Below are 21,187 nucleotides of genomic sequence, written 5' to 3'. Positions count from 1 at the left end.
ATCAAGAAGAAATCCTCAAGAATTCACTAAATTGTAGTTTACTGTAAATAATCATGTCCCAGAGGAAATTTCAAGGGATAATATTTTCCTGCTAGAGATAAAGGGAAGGAAATCCTAACAAAAACAAACCAGAAAGGATTGCACAATTTTCTATAATAAAACAAAGAGAGCTGACTGATGCGAGGTATGCAACAGGCAAAAGGCACGTAGGCACAGCCTCCAGAAATTGGAAGAACAGGATGAGCACGTGCCAGGAGGCTGCACCCAAATTCCAATCTCCTGTTCCATGAATTTTCTTCCCCTTCCCTTGGCTCATTCCAACAGAAAGAAATCACAATTCCTGCAATCGATAACAAGTCCTAGGTTTCTCCCATTCTCTATCATCTATGTATCTTCTTGCCCCTTCTCTCCTAAACTTTTGGAATTGTATTTTAAATATTCACTAAACATATTGATTTGGGGTGTCCCATGTTTGTGAGTACCATTGCACAGCATCACTTTATGTATAACTGATCAAATTACCTCAAAACAGGACTAGCTCTTAGCATTTTTCCTGTGTGATTCATACTCAGCCTCACTTGAATGTCTCAGGGTTAGTAAAATAATTGTGGCTGCAATAGGCAAAGAAGGACTAACATTTAATGGATTTCTCTTGTGAACTAGGCTCCAAGACAGACGCTTATCATGTTTGATCATATTGTATTAAGTCTCATATCCTATAAAGGAGGTGGTATTATTTTCATTTTACAGGTAAAGGCACTATTTTGTTGGCGGGGGGAGGTGGAGTCTCACTCTGTTGCCCAGGCTGGAGTGCAATGGCACACTCTCAGCTCACTGCAACCTTCGCCCCCGAGTTCAAGAGAATCTCCTGCCTCAGCCTCCCAGGTAACTGGGACTACAGGCGCATGCCACCATGCCCGGCCAATTTTTGTATTTTTAGTAGAGAAGGGGTTTCACCATGTTGGCCAGGCTGATCTTGAACTCCTGACCTCAAGTGATCTGCCTGCCTTGGCCTCCCAAAGTGTTGGGATTACAGGCGTAAGACACCGCACCTGGCCAAAGAGCACTATTTAGAAAGTTTCCTGAAAGTACTTAGATTTTTAGCATCTGTCAGGATTAGAGCTTCTGTCTGACTCCAAAGTCTATACTTTTTCTACTATGCCACATTCTAAAGTTCTTTAGTCTAATGTCCTTGGAAAAAAGAATGATATTTTCCTCCTTCATACTTCATAAGGACGTTGTGAGGATTAAAGAGGAGTTTAAAATAAATTTACCCCAAGAAAAGTGGCAAAATAGGAAACATGAAGGTCACTTCCTTGGAAAATTCCAGCAACTCTGACTTTTGTCCACTTTACAATTTAAGTAACAAGGTATTTTTAAAAACTTGATTTGAGAATTACATGTTAACATTCTTGAACAAAGAGGCAGGTGGTATAGAGAAATGACAATGGGTTCCGAGGTCAGACAGAAATCCTGCAGTCCTGACTTCACCACTCAGGCAAGTTACGCAACCTCCCAGACTATCAGTGTCCTGCTCTGAAAGAGACAGGTAATAGAAGTTGCTTTATATAAATGTTATGAAGATTAAATAATAAAGGTAAAAGGCCTACCATAGCACCCAGGACATTATAGGTATTCATTAATTATGCACATAAGTTAAATCACTGGGTTTTTAAAAACCACAGATGATTTTCGTGGTAGCTGTATTAGTCAGGGTTCTCTAGAGGGACAGAACTAATAGGAGATATATATATATATGTATATATATATATGGAAGTTTATATATATATTATATAATATATAACAAATGTCACCAAGTATATTGTGATCTAACCTTAGAAGTCACACAGTATCACTTCTGTGGTTCTCTGATGATTAAAGCAGCCCCAAATTCACCCAGACTCAAGGAGAGAAAACCTAAACTACCTATCAATGGTAAAAGAGTCTCAGATAATTTGCAAGTACCTAAGTAGGTCCAAGCTAATACCTAGAGCGAAAAGTTAGAAAATCTGACCAAGATGTTGGTAAGAGTGAATATACCCAGCAAGAAAGGAGATGGTAATTATAGTGCAGTTGGGGAGAAAGAAGTCATTGAAACAGAAGTTTTCTGTTTATGCCATATCATGTTGAGAATTCTCAATAAACCATTTACAACAATTTACCATATGCAAGAAGAAGCCAGAGTCTGTGCACTTATGTGAAAGCCAAAACCAAAAATTTTATCATTCAAAAGTGACCTGTTGGTCACATCCTTGCCTCTTTGCTTAAGATTCTAATTTCTTTTGTACATGTAATAAGTAAAAATATTTTGAACTTGGTATCTTTTCTAAATAGAAGGCATATATATATGGTAAGGATTTTTATTGGCTAATCTCTTTACAAATCTTGTCAGTACCTAATCCTACAAACATGCCATGATGTGTTAGCATAATTAGCCCCATTTCACAGATTTTTAACAAGGAGATTTAGGAAAGTATCTAACTCACCGAAGATCACAAAATGAACTTATGCAACACTCATATGTTAGCATATGGCTCAAGGCTGCTAAGGCAAATGCTGCTTAGAGAGCAATAGTTACTTCCTGAAATAATATATCTTGTTAAATATAATTTCAAAGCGTCCTTTGTCACTAGAATGGATAGGGAAGCTAAGTGATTGGATGCCCTCCCCTACAGCTGGTAGCTCCAATGTGCTGAACTTTTTATTTTCCTAGAGCGATGATGACTGTGAATCATATGAGCTCTTGCTTTGAAAATAGTCCACAGACAATGGGAGCAGATGGGCTTTTTGGCAGCAGTACCCCTCTTTTCCATCTGCCACAGGTGAGTAGTAGGCCACTTTCTTACATAAGCCCCAATGGCTACTTCAAGTACTAGCAGATTACAAACATCATAGCCAACTTAGGACAGCATAAGATATACATTTAAAGGAGGACAACAGTTCTTGGAGTTAGAGGAATTGACACATAGTAGAAAACGGTAGCCAGTTCCAGTGTCATAAATTGTGCCAAGTTTTTATCATTGCATATTATCTAGGAAGTGAGTGGCGAACCTTTCCTTCAGAAAAGTAAACATTACAGATGACATAGTCAGATTTTGAAGTATTGTGGTAGCAGAAAACGGTGTAGTACAAAAAAAGGAGGAACCTGAAAAAAACACTGAATCAAAGAGCTAATAGGCCAAACCAATTTCAGCCAAGTGTGTGGGAAAATCTACAACCCGTAGGCAAGTGAATGTGAACTCCCCCTAAACACCAAGCCCCAGTGCAGGATAAAGTAGGCAATTTTAACTACATGCCATGCAGTATATGCAAACAGTAGGTTGAGGACAAGAGTTGGGGAGAGGAGAAGGAGGAGGAATCATTGCTCATTGGATACAGCACACTTAGCTTAAACGACCTCTGGAGAATGTAAGGAAAATGGAAATTCACACTTGCCAGTCAGAATGTAAAATGGTTCAGTCACTTTGGAAAACAATTTTGCAGTTTTTTAAAAAGTTAAACATATACTTACAGTAGGACCAACAATTTCACTCTAAGTATTTACTCAAGAGAAATGAATATGAATGTTCATAGCAGAATTACTCAGAATAGTCCGAAATTGGAAACAACCTAAATCTCCTCCAAATGGTAAATAAGTAAACAATTTGGTACATTCATACAATGGAATACTACTCAGCAATAAAAAGGATGGACTACTAATTCATGAAAAATCATGGCTGACCCTCAATATTACGCTAAGTAAAAGAAGCTAGACACAAATGACTATATATTTTTTTTGTGTTGTTGTTTTTGAGACACAGTCTTGCTCTGTCGCCTAGGCTGGAGTGCAGTGGCATGATCTCGGCTCACTGCAACTTCTGCCTCCCAGGTTCAAGCGATTCTCCTGCCTCAGCCTCCCGAATAGCTGAGATTACACACGTGTGCCACTACGCACAGTTAATTTTTGTATTTTTAGTAGAGATGGGGTTTCACCATGTTGGCCAGGCTGAACTCCTGACCTCGTGATCCACCCGCCTCAGCCTCCCAAAGTGCTGGGATTACAGACGTGAGCCACTGCGCCCAGTCACAAATGACTGTATATTATATGATTTCATTTTATATGAAATCTCTAGAACAGGCAAAGTTATAGAAACAGAAAGCAGACCAGTGGTTGCCTGGGGCTAGGTGCAGAAGTGGGAAATGACTATAAATAGGCAGCAGTGAAATTTTTGTTTTTTGATGAAAGTGTTCTGAGTATCCAGGTTTTAATCAAAAAGTACTAGTCACACAAAAAACCAGGAAAGCCGTGAGCTGAATGAAAAATGCAAGCAATAGATGACAACACTGAGATGACAGAGTCTGAAAAGAATTAACTTAAAAATTTTAATAGTAGTTTATATATTTTTACAAGCAAAATTTAATAGAAGAGTGGTTATGAGAATTTAGAAGTCAAGACATTCCAGTATTGATGTAAGCAAAGACATGTTATACACTTACTTATTTACCCAAAAGAAATAATAACATGTCCACAAAACGGGTATACAAATGTTCACAGCAGCTATATTTATAATAGTTAAAAATGAAAAACCAACAAAGTGTCCATTTATAGGTGAATAGATAAACTAATTGTGGTAAATCCATACAATGGCATACTATTTAACAAGGAAAAGGAACAAACTAATGATATATGCAACAACATGAGTGAATCTGAAAAACATTATACTGACCAAAACAAGTTAGATGTAAAAGAAGACTTACAATGTGATTCTATTTACAGGAAAGTCCAAGAAAACTAATCTATAGAGATAAGCAAACATCAGTGATTGCCTGCAGCTAGGCAGGATAGGAAACTGAATGCATAAATGCTGGAAGACAGTTTTTGGTGTGAAGGAAATGTTCTATATTTTGACTGTGGTAGTGGCCATTGTCTAGTTTGTAACAAGGCCCAGTCTACCTGATTTGTATCTTGGTTCTGACACTTACTTGGTGATATGGTTTGGCTCTGTGTCCCCACCCAAATCTCATCTTGAATTGTACTCCCATAATTCTCACAGGTTGTGGGAGGGACCTGGTGGGACATAATTTGAATCATGGGTGTGGTTCCCCCATACTGTTCTTGTGGTAGTGAATAAGTCTCATGAGAGCTGATGGTTTTATCAGGAGTCTCCACTTTTGCATCTTCCTCATTTTTCTCTTGCCACCACCAGGTAAGAAGTGGCTTTTGCCTCCCACCATGATTTTGAGGCTTCCCCAGCCATGTGGAACTGTAAGTCCAATTAAACCTTTTTTTCTTCCTAGTCTCAGGTATGCCTTTATCAGCAGTGTGAAAATGGACTAATACAGTAAGTTGGTACCAGGAGTGGGGTGTTGCTGAAAAGATACCTGAAAATGTGGAAGCAACTTTGGAACTGGGTAACAGGCAGAGGTTGGAACAGTTTAGAGGGCTCAGAAGAAGACAGGAAAATGTAGGAAAGTTTGAAACCTCCTAGAGATTTGTTGAATGGCTTTGACAAAAATGCTGATAGTGATATGAACAATAAGAAGCAGGCTGAGGTGACCTCAGATGGAGCTGAAGAACTTGTTAGGAACGGGAGCAAAGTTGACTCTTGTTATGTTTTACCAAAGAAACTAGTGGCATTTTGCCCCTGCCCTAAAGATTTGTGGAACTTTGAACTTGAGAGAGATGATTTAGAGTATCTGGTGAAAGAAATTTCTAAGCAGAGAAGCATTCAAGAGGTGACTTGGGTGCTGTTAAAAGCATTCCATTTTGAAAGGGAAACAGAGCATAAAAGCTCAGAAAATTTGCAGCCTGATGATGCAGTAGAAAAGGAAAACCCATTTTTTTGAGGAGAAATTCAACCTGGCTGCATAAATTTGCATAAGTAACAAAAAGTTGAATGTGAATCCCCAAGACAATGGGGAACATGTCTCCAGGGCATGTCATAGGTTTTCATGGCAGCCCCTCCCATCGCAGACCCAGAAGCATAGGAGGAAAAAATGGTTTCATGGGCTGGGCCCAGGGTCCTCATGCTGTGTGCAGCATAGGGACTTGGTGCCCTGTGTCACAGCCACTCCAGCCATTGCTAAAAGGGTCCAACATACAGCTTGGCCCATGTTTTCAGAGGGTGCAAGCCCCAAACCTTGGCAGTTTCCACATGGTGTTGAGCCTGCAGTTGCACAGAAGTCAAGAATTGAGGTTTGGGAACCTCCTCCTAGATTTCAGAAGATGCATGGAAACGCCTGGATGCCCAGGCAAAAGTTTGCTACACAGGTGGGGCCCACATGGAGAATCTCTGCCAGGGCAGTACAGAAGGGAAATGTGGAGTCAGAGCCCCCACACAGAGTGCCTACTGGTGCACCACCTAGTGGAGCTGTGAGAAGAGGGTTACTGTCCTCCAAACCCCAAAATGGGAGATTCAATGACAGCCTGCCCTGTGCACCTGGAAAAGCCATAGACGCTCAATGCTAGCCCGTGAAAGCAGCCAGAAGGGGGGTTGTACCCTGCAAAGCCACAAGGGCAGAGCTGCCCAAGCCTATGGGAACCTACCTCTTGCATCAGCATGACCTGGATGTGAGATATGGAATCAAAGGAGATCATTTTGGAGCTTTAAAATTTTACTGCCCTGCTGGATTTCAGACTTGCATGGGCCCTGTAACCCCTTTGTTCTGGCCAATTTCTCCCATTTGGAATGACTATATTTACCCAATATCTGTATCCCATTGTATCTAGGAAGTAACTAGCTTGCTTTTGATTTTACAGGCTCATAGGTGGAAGAGACTTCCCTTGTATCAGATGAGTTGGACTGTGGACTTTCAGGTTAATGCTGAAATGACTTAAGACTTTGAGGGACTGTTGGGAAGGCATGATTGGTTTTGAAATGTGAGGACATGAGATTTGAAGAGGCCAGAGGTGGAATGATATGGGTTGATTCTGTATCCCCACCCAAGTCTCATCTTGAATTGGACTCCCGTAATTCTCACATGTTGTGGGAGGGACCCAGTGGGAGATAATTTGAATAATGGGGGCAGTTCCCCCATACTGTTCTCATGGTATTGAATAAGTCTCACGAGATCTGATGGTTATATCAGAGGTTTTCCCTTCTGCATCTTCCTCATTTTTCTCTTGCCTCTGCCATGTAAGAGTGCCTCTCACCTCCTCCATGATTCTGAGGCCTCCCCAGCCATGTGGAACTGTAAGTCCAATTAAATCTCTTTTTCTTCCCAGTCTCAGGTATGTCTTTATCAGCAGTGTGAAAATGGACTAATATACTTGGGCAAGTTATTTAACTTCTCTGTGCCTCAGTTATCTCATCTGTAAAATGGATATCATAATAATACCTATTTCATAAGGTGATTGTAATTGTTAAAAAATGAGTTAGTAAATAGAAAGATTGTAAAGTACCTGAGATACAGACATTTCCATGTGTTACCCATTATTATTTTTAACAAAGGATAAAGTTGTCTATGTAAATATGTTTGTCAAATAGGTGTTTACAAAAGCAAAAACTGGCTTGCATAGGTATATGAGCTATAATGCTTTTCACCTGATGAAATATTATGTAGTCGCTACATTGGTGAACATTAGAGAATCTATTATATAACTTCTAATTTTAGTAGTTCACATAAAAAATCAGGTAAATATCTCAATAAATGCAGAAATGACATAAAATACAACACCCATTTCTGACACAAAGCAAAATTGATCAGTTCTTACACTTAATCACATCAAAAGCTAGCAACAAATTTAACAGTAAACTTTCGATTTTCCATTCAAATTTCACAAACGAAACAATGGTGCTATCACAATTATTGTCCATTGTTCTGGAAGTAAAATTTAATGCAAGCAAATAAAAATAAATAAGGAGAGTATATGTACTAGAAAAGAAGATGCATAATTGTCATAATTTGGAGATTACAGGACTGCGTAAAAGGATAAAATAATGTGGCTGGTTAAAAATGTTATTTACAAAAATGAGTAGTTTACCTATCTACAAAATCATAATAAGAAAAAAAGGATTAAACAAAACCCCATAATAACAAGACAAAAATAATTAGAAATCATCTTAGCAGTTAACATACAGGACAAATAAAAAGAAAATATTACAACTTTACTGAAGAGACATAAAAGCAGAATTGAGTAAATGTCCCCATATAGAAAAACTCAAAACTCTAAAATTATCAAATCAACTTTCAAAAATTCAAAAAAAGCAACAGGAATTCGGGAGGTATTTGAAAAAATTATAATAAGTTCGCCTGGAAGATTAAATGGAAAAAATGTGGAAAAAATAAGATGAGGCAGAACTATTTTTATCAAATATCAAAGCATATAAGACTACAGGAACTAAAGCATTTTGTGGCAGGATTACTGTGTTAGTTAATTATTGCTGCATAACAAATTTCCCCAAAACATATTGGCTTAAAACAACACACACCTATTATCTCATAGTTTTGTGGGTCAGGAATCAGGGCATGATTTAGCTGAGTTCTCTGACTATGGGTGTTTCACAAGGCTGCAATCAACGTGTCTACTGGGGCCACAGTCATCTCAAGGCTCAACTAGGGTAAGACCTGCTTCCAAGCTCACTCACTTGGTTGTCGGAAGGATTCAGTTCCTTTCAGGCTGTTGGACTGATGACCTCGGTTCCTCCTCAGCTGTTGGCTAGCGATCTTGCTCATTCTCTTGGCACATGAGTTTCTCCACAGGGCAACTCACAACATGGCAGGTGGCTTTAGCAGAGCAAGCAAGTGAGAGGACGAGAGAGAGAGCAACAGAGTACCAGTAGGATGGAGGTCTCAGTTTTTGTAATCTAATTGCAGAAGTGACATCTCATCAATTTTTCAGTATTCAGTTCATTAGAAGCAAATCACTGGGTCCAGCCCACATTCAAGGGGAGGGGATTACACACGGGTATGAATACCAGGAGGCAGGGATCATCGTACAAATCTGCCTGCTACCACCAGAGAGATAAACCAATAGAAGAAAACAAAGTATAGAAATAGACCCAAATTCCTTTGAGAATCTAGTATATAATAAAGATAGCATTCCGGATTAATGATGACAAGCTCTATGAATTATCATGCCATTGCCAAATCAAATCATATACAAATCATACTTTCAAATAATTAGCTAGGCATCTATGAAAAACCATCTTGGCACCTATCTCTTTCCCAGAGATATGATAATACTGATATAATAATTCTATGGAAAATACATATAAAATTAAGGCATGGAAAAATACATATATACTATAATTATCAAAATGTTTTAAAAATATATATACGGAGAAGCAAAAGAAACTACCAATAAAGTAAACAGACACCCTACAGAATGGGAGAAAATATTTGCAAACTGTGCATTCAGCAAAAGTCTAATATCCAAAATCTATTAGGAACTTAAATCAACAACAAAAAAAAATTCCATTAAAAAACTGGCAAAGGAGATGAACAGATACTTCTCAAAAGAAGATATACAAGCAGCCAACAAACTATGAAAAAATACTCATCATCACAGATCATCAGATAAATGCAAATCAAAACCACAGTGAAATATCATCACAAACCAGTCAGAATGGTTATTATTAAAAAGTCAAAAAGAAAATTCTGGAAGGCTGCAAAGAAAAAAGAACACATACACTGTTGGTGGAACTGAAAATTAGTTAAGCCACTGTGGAAAGCAGTTCAGAGATTTCTCTAAGAACTTAAAACAGAGCTACTGTTCAACCTAGCAATCCCATTACTGGGTGTATACCTAAAGGAAAATAAGATCATTATACTCAAAAGACACATGCACTCATATGTTCATCACTACACTATTCACAATAGCAAAGACATGGAATCAACCTAGATGCCCATCAGTGGTGGATTAGACAAAGAAAATGCAATACCTACATACCATGGAATACTATGCAGCCATAAAAAAGAATGACATCATGTCTTTCACAGGAACATGGACAGAGCTGGAGGCCATAATCCTAAGCAAACTAATGCAGGAACAGAAAACCAAATACCACATGCTCTCACTTACAAGTGGGAGCTAAACATTGAGCACACATGGACATAAACAGGGAAAAAAGAGACACTGTGGACTACTAGAGATGGAGAGGGAGAGGGAGAGAGTGTGGATTGAAAAACTACCTATTAGGTACTATGCTTATTACCTGGATGAAATATAGCCATGTAACAAATCTGCACATGGACCTCCTGTGTCTAAAATAAAAGTTGAAGTTTAACCAATCAATAAGTAAAAACATATAGAGGGGAGAAAATGTTTAAGAAAAGAAAAAGAAATACTACACATCAACAGTGGTTGTGTATAGCTGGGATCATTGGCATGTTTTAAGTCTTTTATGTGTTCTAAATATTGTTAATAAAAATGTGGTACTTTACAATGGAAAAAGAAAGTCTTCTAAGTGATGGTTTCAAATTTTTAAAGAAGTGGGAATCTCTTTCAAATGAATTCTTATACAGAATCCTAATCATAAAGAAGACACGTAAATAATTTCTGAATGAATTTTGAAGGTTTAAAGTTGAAAATATTTGAGAATACCTAATACAGTAAGATATTAAAACCTCTTCAATGTCACTATGGTAAAATAGATATCACTATCAATCATTACTGAATTTTTTTTTTAAATACATACTCATACTTAATGCTTTTTAAAAACAAAGTTCTGGCTTCTTATTTTTATTCTTCACCAAATAATCAGATTATAGGAAAAAAAATTTGAAAGCTGGAAAGGTTTACTTTAAGTGTGAAAATAAATAAAAATTTTAGTTCTAGCTCAAGCTGAACAAGTCTTGTTCTAAAAATCTCTGCATATAGCCTTCTTATCAGGAAAGCAGAGATGGATATAAATTACATGATTTCAGGAGCTCAGATGGAACTCCAGATTTATAGAATCTGGAACAGGAGAATAAAGGAGAGTTTGTCTTTTTAAAAAATAAATAAATAAATAAATAATGCTAATACCCACCCACACAGCTCTCCACACAGAATGAAAGCTATGTTATAATAAATTCTGTTTCTCATTTATGACTCAATGAAACATCAGAACACTTGATGTACAATATAACTTTTAAAGGAAGGTTGACCAATTTTCTTCTTGGAAGAAGAAACGAAATCATCTAAAAAAAGCACTTTGGGAACTATGACAAAAATGAGGAAATAAGCTCTTCCTCTTATGAATAAAGATTCAGTGTCTCTGTATCTAATAGTAAATAGACTGAAAATAGGAGATGTTCAATAGGAAGCTTAATGTCTGTTACTAAAATAATAGATAAAAATAAAAAATTAAAGATAAATAAAAATTAAATTATCTGGAAACTCAAAATAGAAGTTCATGTAACCAAAAGACAAAAGTTCTATTAGAAAAAATAATCATTCAACAATATGTATCCCACTTTTAGCTATTTTCTATATGTGAACAAAAATCATTGTACAGTCAATGGGAAATAGTAATTGAATACTACATGAAATAACATTGGACAATTTTTACTTTTGATTAACTCAAGAAATGTAGAGTTATAAGGAATTGAAAGGTAGGACATAAACCAGTTTCCCAGTTTGGAAAATGGTGAAACATGCATTGTTACCAGAGGTCAAATCAAAGCTTACTGGCTACATTTCTTCACCTTTATCATAAAAATTTTAAAGTATGAGAAATCTTCATATGGACATTCTTAAGACAAGTGAAGAAATATTTCCCATTTTCACCTTGTACAATCAATTTAAAATATGAATTTTAAACGTAAAATGTGTTACTATAATTTCCTGTGTTATTTCTTGATGGGGAAAAAATATACCTCAGAAGCACATCCAACTTCTTCTCTGCAGAAGCATAGCCTTGGGAGTGGCCAACCTGAAATTAATTTCCCTGAATAAATTTTGCAAAGCTGCCAGGTGGAGAAATTTTCCTTTAGAAGAGATCCTAGGGTTTGCTAAAACCAGCAAATGGCTTACTATCAGAAAACCTGAAATCATCATATCAAAATATACTTGCACTTGTATGTTTATTGAAGCACTAGTCACAATATCAAGGATATGAAATCAACCTAAATGTCCGTCAAGGGATGACTGGATAAAGAAAATGTGACACACACACACACACCATGGAATATTATTCAGCCATAAAAAAGAATGAAATCAAGTCTTTTGCAGCAACATGGATGGAACTAGAGTCTATTATCTTAAGTGAAATAACTCAGAAAGTCAAATACTGCATGTTCTCACTTATAAGTGGGGCCTAAATGATGTGCGTACGTGGACATAAAGAATAGAAGAGTAGACACTGCAGACTCAGAAAGGTGGAAGGGTGGGAAGGGGGTGACGGATGAAAATTACTTAATGGGTACAATGTACACAATTCAGGTGATGGTTACACTAAAAGCTCAGACTTCACCACCATACACTATATTGATGTGACATAATTGCACTTGTGTCTCCTAAATCTATAAAAATTAAAATAAAGAAAAATAAAAGAAAATCTAGGTTTCAGACTCAGCTTATCCTTAGAAGCTTGAGCAAGACATAACTTCACTTGGCTTCAGTTGCTTCATTTGTAAAATTGACAGGCTGTCAAACAGCTGTCACATCCTGCGATTCCCACTGGACATCATTATGTAATCATTCATCCGAACAAATCCAGGCTCAAGAGAAGATTGCTCTATAACCTGGCTCTTTGTTGTCAATCTCCTCTCAAGATCATTAATGTAAATATTTTAGTTTACTCAAGATAATGGCCATTGATAAGCCTATAAAATAATTATTTTCTCAAAACTGAACATTCCAATGAACAGATACTCTTTAGCAAAGTAGCCTGCGCACAACTAGTTCTTAACACATATTTGAAAAATGTATTTAAGATTATAGTCTGGGCTGGTCGTGGTGGCTCCTGCCTGTAATCTCAGGAGTTAGAGACCAGCCTGGTCAACATAGTGAGACCCTGCTTCTACAAAAATAAAAATAAAAATAAAAATTAGCCAGGCATGGTGGCATGCACCTGTAGTCCCAGCTACTCGGAAGGCTGTGGCGGAAGGATCACTTGACCCCAGGAGGTCAAGGCTGCATGCAATGAACCATGATGGCACTACAGCCTGGGAGACAGAGCAACACCCTGTCTCAAAACAAAACAGGACAAACAAAAGAAAAAGAAAAAAATCTAAGAGTATAGTCTGTACTTTTTCTCATCAATTTTTTCTTCATAATTGTTAAAAATCATCAAATAAAAATATGTGGTATATTTTCTCTTTCTTAAACTATTTCACATGAATACAAAATTTTAATTGGGTAGAAACCATGAATTTTAGGCATATTCATAGAACATTCCTCAAAACATATTTGCAAGTCATATCATTCCCTTTTAGCATACAGTCACTCAGAAGTAGTAATAGAAACTTCAATAGTATTCTTCCTATGAAATTTAAATAAATTAATATTAACAAGACAGCTCAAAATCCTAGGATGAAAATAAAACATATATGGAAATATATTTTTGGGCTTGTTTTTAAAATTTGACTGATACTGTAGTGGAATGAAAGGGTAATGAATTCATGGGCCAATTCTGTCGCTGTAAGCTATAACTTTGTGCAACTAATTTTAACTTGGCTTTCTTATCTGTGAAATGGCCATCATGCCCTTCTACCCACCTCACAGTCTGATGTGTAGATAGTGGGGAAAATCTATACAATGCCCACTTGACACCACAAATATTAATGCTGATGGCACAAGGAGCTTGTTCATTTGTTCTAGCCTGAGAGATAGAGCTTGGGAATGGCCTCAAACTATTGAAATTGGTTCTGTTGTTACAGTGGTGGGGTGGTTGTGGTTTCAGTGACTGAGTTTGAAAGGAGTGGGAAGAGAGTGGGAAGTTCACTGCAATGTATCTGACCAAGATCTGCTGGAAGGTGAAAGTGTGTAGCTTCTCGGTGCAGTTGTGTTGCAAAAGGGAGACCATTTGCAGAGACATAGTTGAGTCAGGTCTATGCTTAGGAGAGTGGATCTTTCAGTTGTTTACAGCAACGTGCCTAAAATGAGCTCACCCTCTTCAGCTGACAAGATAAATGCCCCTGCAGAGCAGGTCTGAGCTGTTCTTTTTAGGGGCACGGCACAGGCAAGCTGCTGAGAAATGTGGCCTGGTGTGCACAGGATTCCCAGCATAGGCCATTAAGGCTGATGGTCCAGTTTCCAGAACTATCCAAAATTACAGAGGAGGCTCATGTGAGGTCTGGGCTTGCCTGGCTCTGTCATCATTGCTTCCTGTCTCTCTGGTCAAGGGCCTGGGCAGACACTTGCCACAATGGGCACAGGGAGAGACCAACTTACCTTCATAGTTGGAGGAGGAGAAACAGAAACTCAGATGCCTGAATTTTAACCTCATGTATTTCCCAACTACACTTGGGGAGAGTAAATAAACCATTACTATTTTAATCATTTGACTACGAAAATAATATTTCTGGCTTTCCAGCTGGATAGAGGATGCATCGAAACAGTGCCCTCTGCCTTACGCTCTGTTTGTGAGCAGTGCGTGACCACAGACTTATTTTGGGGTATCCTAGGGTGGCTTCTTAAAATTTACAGATATCCATATGAAGCTTCCTGAGAACAACATGTTAAAATACACGAGATCTTCCGGGCCTCATCTTCCTACTCTCTAATGCACCACCTTTAACAAAACTGATTTATATTTTTCAACTATGAAAGTATAAAAATGCAATGTTTGTGAGTTCTGAGAAGCATCCTTTCTGAAAGTGCTTACTTAAAAAAATTATGGGTACATAGTAGATGTACATATTTATGGGGTACATGAGATATTTTGATACAGGCATACAATGTGTAATAATCACATTAGGGTAAACCGAGTATCCATCACCTCAAGCATTTATCATTTATTTGTGTTACAAACATTTCGTTTATACTCTTTTAGTTATTTTTAAATGTGCAATAAATTGTTGTTGGCTGTAATCACCCTGTTGTGCTATTAAATATTAGATCTTATTCAAGTGGAGAAAAAGGAACCCTTGCATGCTGTTGGTGGGAATATAAATTAGTACTAAATTAGAATGTAAATTATTCTCCACAGCCACTATGAGAATAGTATGGATGCTCCACAAACAATTAAAAATAGAACTACAACACGATCCAGCAATCCCACTGCTAGGTATATACCCAAAAGAAAGGAAGTCAGTTTATGGAGGGGATATCCACATTCCCATGTTCCTGCTGCACTATATATAATCGCCAAGATGTGGAAGCTTCCCATTTTTTTTTGAGTAAATTATTCAAGAATAAGTACATGCCACGGAATCCTAAATAACAAGTAATGGGATACTACCCTTGTTCTCTGCACAGTTGTGCATCTTTTGCTCCTTCCTACAACTGCCAATTGTTTAAGGGGAGAGTTACTGGGGTGAACAGCCTGGCCAACATGGTGGAACCCCATCTCTACTAAAAATACAAAAATTAGTTCTGCATCGTGGTGCCCGCCTGTAATCTCAGCTACTCAGGAGGCTGAAGCAGAAGAATTGCTTGAACCCGGGAGGTGGAGGTTGCAGTGAGCTAAGATCATGCCACTGCACTCCAGACTGGGCAACAGAGTAAGGCTCCTTCTCAAAAAAAAAAAGAAAGAAAAAAGAAAAAGAAACATAGGATAAATCCATCTTTTAACAGTATGTCACTTATATGTTTGCTATGGTTTGGGTGTTTGTCTCCCCAAACCTCACATTGAGCTTTGATCCCCAGTGTTGGAGATGAGGCCTAAGGGGACGTGTTTAGGCCATAGGGGTGAATTTCTCATGAATGGCTTGGTGCTATCCTTATGGTAATGAGTGAGTTCTTGCTCTATCAGTTCCTGTGAGAGCTGATTGTTAAAAAGAGCCTGGCACCTCCTGCCTCTCTTGCTTCTTCTCTTGCTGAATGATTTCTGCACACACTGACTTCCCTTCACCTTCCACCATGAGTGAAAGCAGCCTGAGACCCTCACCAGATGCAGATGTTGGTGCCATGCTTCTTGTATGGGCTACAGAAGTGTGCGCCAAATAAACCTCTTTTCTTTATAAATTACCCAGTCACAGATATTCCTTTATAGCAACACAAATGGACTCAGATAATTTTCAAACAACATAATCTGCATTTCTTTAACTTCCATTCCCCTTCAAAAGTATAATGAATATAGTAAGCTTCCTATGCTGCCAGAATTTTTGGATGCTCAATATGTTTTATAAGTTACTTTTTTCTAGATCAGCAATTAGGCCCATTATTTTAAATCTAGAGCAAATCCACTTCAACTGAAAGCATATTATTTGAAGATAACTAACATACTGTTTTAAGAAAAGTTTACTTTGTTTCCTGACTTTGCATATGTATCTTATAGAATGGGGACTGGAAGACCAACAGCAATAAATTATTTGCCAAGAAATGTAGTACATTAATAATGTAAACTGTAACTGTGTAAGGCCTTTTGAAAGATGCTTAATACATAAATCTACTCTCTGATAATTTTTTTTTTTGAAACAGAGTTTCACTCTTATTGCCCAGGCTGGAGAGCAATGGCTAGATCTCAGTTCACTGCAACCTCTGCCTCCCGGGTTCAAGCCATTCTCCTGCCTTAACCTCCCAAGTAGCTGGGATTACAGGTGCCTGCTACCACGCCCAGCTAATATTTGTATTTTTAATAGAGACCGGGTTTCACCATGTTGGCCAGGCTTGTATCAAATTCCAGACCTCCATTGATCTGCCCACTTCAGCCTCCCAAAGTGTTGGGATTACAGGCATGAGCCACCATGCCTGGTCAACACTCTGATAACTCTAAGCTATTTAATCCTTAAAAGTTACCAGCCTCATTTGCCAGAATGTGTTGTTTTGATGCCTAATGCCAGAGTGTAAGCTCCCTAAAGGTAGTAATATGTGTAGGATTTGTTCACCAGGAATATCCAGTACTTGGAAATGGGCCTGGCACATAGAATGCATTCAATAAATAATTTTAAATAAATGCTGCCATACATGGAAAGAGGATTAACATGATTTAGCTACTTAAACAATCTGCAACTCATCTGAATATTACTGGTTGGGCAAAGTCCCCAGTGCCTCTTGCTTAGGGGTAGCTTGCAAAATGAGAATCTCTCTGACCATGAAAATTATTTGGGAATTCTTCCAAATATGTCAGCTTAACAAAGACACATCAGTGAGTTATCTTGAAAATTCATTGTCTTCCTTATGTCTAAGGAAACATAGCACATTTTGACAGATAGCCACCATTTATGATTTCATGACATAACTGACACAATTGCAGCACTTAAAATAAGATTTTCCTGCTTTTGGATAGGTCTTCTCATGCCCAGTATATTTTTTAAGAAGTTATAAACAGTGAAAAACAAATTCATTGCAATTATATAAAGTATGTTAGCATAGTTCTTTTTAGAGAAAAACATCCTCATTATAAGTATGTTACTGTAAATGTATATTTATATTGTAAAATCCTAATTCATACACACTACTCCTTTTGTTGGTGGGGTAGAAGTAAGACACTAAAGGATCTAAGAGATTCATAGGGAAACTAAGTGGAAAATATTGGGAAATAAGATGAGGCAGACCAGCCAAGCTTTGGGTTTTTTGTCTGTTTTTTGAAATGGAGCTTCGCTCTTGTTGCCCAGGCTGGAGTGCAATGGCACCATCTCAGCTCACTGCAACCTCTGCCTCCTGGGTTTAAGTGATTCTCCTGCCTCAGCCTCCCGAGTAGCTGAGATTACAGGCACCCGCCACCATGCCCAGCTAATTTTTGCATTTTTAGTAGAGACGGGGTTTCACCATGTTTGCCAGGCTAGTGTCGAACTCCTGACCTCAGGTGACCTGCCCACCTCAACCTCCCAAATTGCTGGGATTACAGGTGTGAGCCACTGTTCCTGGCCATGCTTTGGGTTTTTATGGTACCAATAACCACTTCTCTGAAGTTAGAGGTGTAAACTTCACCTGCTTGATGTACTTTTTGGAAGAGCCTAGGTTGAAGAGAGGTATAGGGGATGAGAGAGGTGAGCACCAGAAAAAAACTTATAAAGAAAAGCCTGTGTTTGTTTTGAAAACAAGTAACCTATGGCTGGGAGAAGAGCTACTGTCAGATGCATGGGCAGAAAATCCAGGCAACCTGACTGTGAAAGGCCTACACAGCAGCAGCTGCAAGGCTGCTCACTGAGTCTTCAAAAGAGGGAACTTTATGCTAAGTCAATCTCTTCTCTGCATAAACTAGAATTATTTTACTTAGCAATGCCTGCTTTTCAAAGTATGGGTTGTAGAATGAAATAACCATTGTTCTCATCCCAAGCTTCACCACTGACCAGCAGTGGGACACAGGACAAGGAAAACTCTTTCCAGGCCTCGGCTCCTGTATTAGTCCATTTTCATCCTGCTGATAGACATACCCAAGACCAGTTGCTTTATTTAAAAAAAAAAAAAAAAAAAAAAGAGGTTTAATGGACTCACAGTTCCACGTGGCTGGGGAGGCCTCACAATCATGGCGGAAGGCGAAAGGCACATCTTACATGGCGGCAGGCAGGAGAGTATGAGAGCCAAGCAAAAGGGGTTTCCCCTTATAAAACCATCAGATCTCGTGAGACTTATTCACTACCACAAGAACAGTATAAGGGAAATCACCCCCAGGATTCAATTAACTCCCACCGGGTCCCTTCCATAACATGTGGGAATTATGGAAGCTACAATTCAAGACGAGATTTGGGTGGGGACACAGTCAAACCATATCATCTCCACACCTCCAAAATGGAGAGAGTAATCCCTCTTCCCATGTCTGTAGAAACCTTGCACAGTGTCCGGCGTACAGGAAAATGTCAATTAGTGGTAGGCTGTTATTTTTCATCTTTTGAATGGGAGTTGTAATTTTTTTTCTTTTTACATTTTCTCTTAGAATTTTAGTCAATTTTTAAAATATTGGGTTCTAAGAGTGCTAACATGGAGTAAAAAACTTGATATTGTCATTGCTTGGAGTTGGAAGAGAAAAAGCAAACACCAGGAGTCCTGGCACAGTAGCTGCAGGTCCATGAGGTAACTCAGCATGGAAGGCAGAAAAGCCAAGGAAAGAAGGTTGGGAAACTGGGGCAGGCAGGCATTCCCCCTATCTATTGCCTGGTCTGCATTTGTTGTTCTTTTGTTTTCTGGAACAAGACTGTATATTTTGCTCATTCATTGGCTTAGTTATTCATTCCATTCAATACAAATGCCACAAAAGGCCGGGGGCAGAGGTTCACACCTGTAATCCCATCACTTTGGGAGGCCAAGGCAGGCAGATCACTTGAGGTCAGGAGTTCGAGACAAGCCCGGCCAACATGGCAAAACCTCGTCTCTACTAAAAATATGAAAATTAGCTGGGGGTGGTGGCAGGCACCTGTAATCCCAGCTACTTGGGAGGCTGAGGCAGGAGAATTGCTTCAACCCAGGAAGCAGAGGCTGCAGTGAGCTCAGATAGTGCCACTGCACTCCAGCCTGGGTGACAGAGGGAGACTCTGCCTCAAAAAAAAACAAAAACAAAAACAAAAACAAAAACAAAAAAAGCCACAAAAGACATTGTGCAAAATGTGGAGAGAGGGAACAGAAAATGGCGGAAATTGAACTTCTCTCAAATCTCAAGTCCCTGTAGGAGATCAGACAAGGAAACTGACAAATGCAAAACCGGATGGTGAAGGCAAGGGGTTTAAGCAGATGTTCCCATGCAATTCTGTTCCCAATAAAAGACCACTGCTTTGGGTGCCAATAACCATGTAGATATGGAAAAAAAATTAATGATATTATGTATTATAAATATCTATACTTTTACAAAAAAGCCAATAAAAATAAATAATAACTGGAGGGTTTGTATTACTTTATTAGCAAAGATTGTTTTATATATGCTGGAAGTAATTTTGATTTCTGCAAAGAGGAAATTTTCTGATTATTATATACTGCAATCAGATTTTTTTCCTATCTCAAGTTATTATAAAAAATTCATTGTTGTCACAGATCAGAAACACCCATCCTCCTTGACTTTCCAGAAAGTCTGAAAGTTAAGAAAAATAATTTCACCATCTAAGCTATATGTTCCATGAGAAAGACACTGCTAAAACAGCAAAATGGTCCAAAAAAGATTCACCTGTGGAAAGTGAAGAAAAAAATGTTAACTTTTATAGTCTCTCTTAAAACAAGGAAATAGATGCATTTATTCCTATGTCTAGCTCTTCTCCTGTAATCTTCTACTTCTTGAATCTGCCTTGGACCAAGAAGCCCACATCTCTGCTGATACTGATTCCTACATCTTCTGGTCTGATGCCAAACCACAGTGATTTTGCATCTGCAAGAGCACATTTGAGAGTCAGCTGAAAGAAGAGCAAAACATTTATTAACGCCAAAGCCATCAACTGCAATCAAAAGATGAAGCCAAACAAATCGAGCAATTTGCAGAAGAGGAGACACCGTCTAAGGCAGGAATAAGTGAACCTGAAGGGTGTTAGAACAAAAACAGATCCCATCTCATAAAAGGAATCTTGGCACAGGCCTTCCCAAATATAAAAATCAAAGAGCTATTCTCCCCTGTCTTCCTTACATAACAGCACTCAAGGATAGGAAAGACAGATTTATGGATCAGAGGCTTCTGTCCAGAGCATGGCCTTTCTCATGAAGTTACCTGTCTAGCATGTGAACCTGATGATCGATGGGACTGTTATTCCCCATATTGGCTTTCTTCCCTGTAAGTGATTATACATCCAACCCATTTCCGAATGACTTGTGGTGCCTCTCCATACGTGGAGAATATTTCTCTGCCATGTTTTCAGGCTTGGCAACATGAGGTGTCTGGGCCAGTGAAATGTAAGCAGAGGTGACAGTGTGCCAGTTCAAGCAAACACTTTGAAGCATGACATTTTCCAGCCAATACTCTGTTTTTCTTTCTGCCACAAAAACAGCAGTCCCAAAGCCAGGCACAGAAAGATAAATTTCGCAGGTTCTCACTCATATGTGAGACTTAGGAATCAAAACAATTGAACTCATGGAGGTAAAGAGTAAAATGATGGTTACTAGAGGCTGGGAAGAGGACAGGGAAGGGGAAGGAGTGCAGACAGCTACTGGGTACAAAAATGCAGTTATGAAACAAAAATAGCAAGTCCCAACTATACATGGCTATGTTTCTGATTCCAGGAAAGAGAAGACACTGGGAGCAGAACTGTAGCAATCAGTGCA

General features: G+C 38.4%; 1 long non-coding RNA gene across 1 annotated transcript in view, besides 1 other annotated feature; it reads right to left on the bottom strand.

Moving 5' to 3' along the window:
* The window catches only part of LINC00189 (long intergenic non-protein coding RNA 189), a 94,712-nt gene that overhangs the window by 28,812 nt on the left and 44,713 nt on the right, over positions 1 to 21,187 (bottom strand). The gene's annotated exons all lie outside the window — the stretch shown is intronic.
* Positions 13,872 to 13,921: an enhancer, noted in NCBI's record as "active region_18347". NCBI's record gives its function as "activates an Ori minimal core promoter by ATAC-STARR-seq in GM12878 lymphoblastoid cells {active_cell/tissue: GM12878}" and the evidence as "EXISTENCE:reporter gene assay evidence [ECO:0000049][PMID:35858748]".

This window comes from Homo sapiens, chromosome 21 (assembly GCF_000001405.40).
Source record: "Homo sapiens chromosome 21, GRCh38.p14 Primary Assembly".
Lineage (NCBI taxonomy): Eukaryota > Metazoa > Chordata > Mammalia > Primates > Hominidae > Homo > Homo sapiens.
Note: the sequence above shows the minus strand (reverse complement) of the source record. Positions and strands in the feature narration are given on the sequence as shown.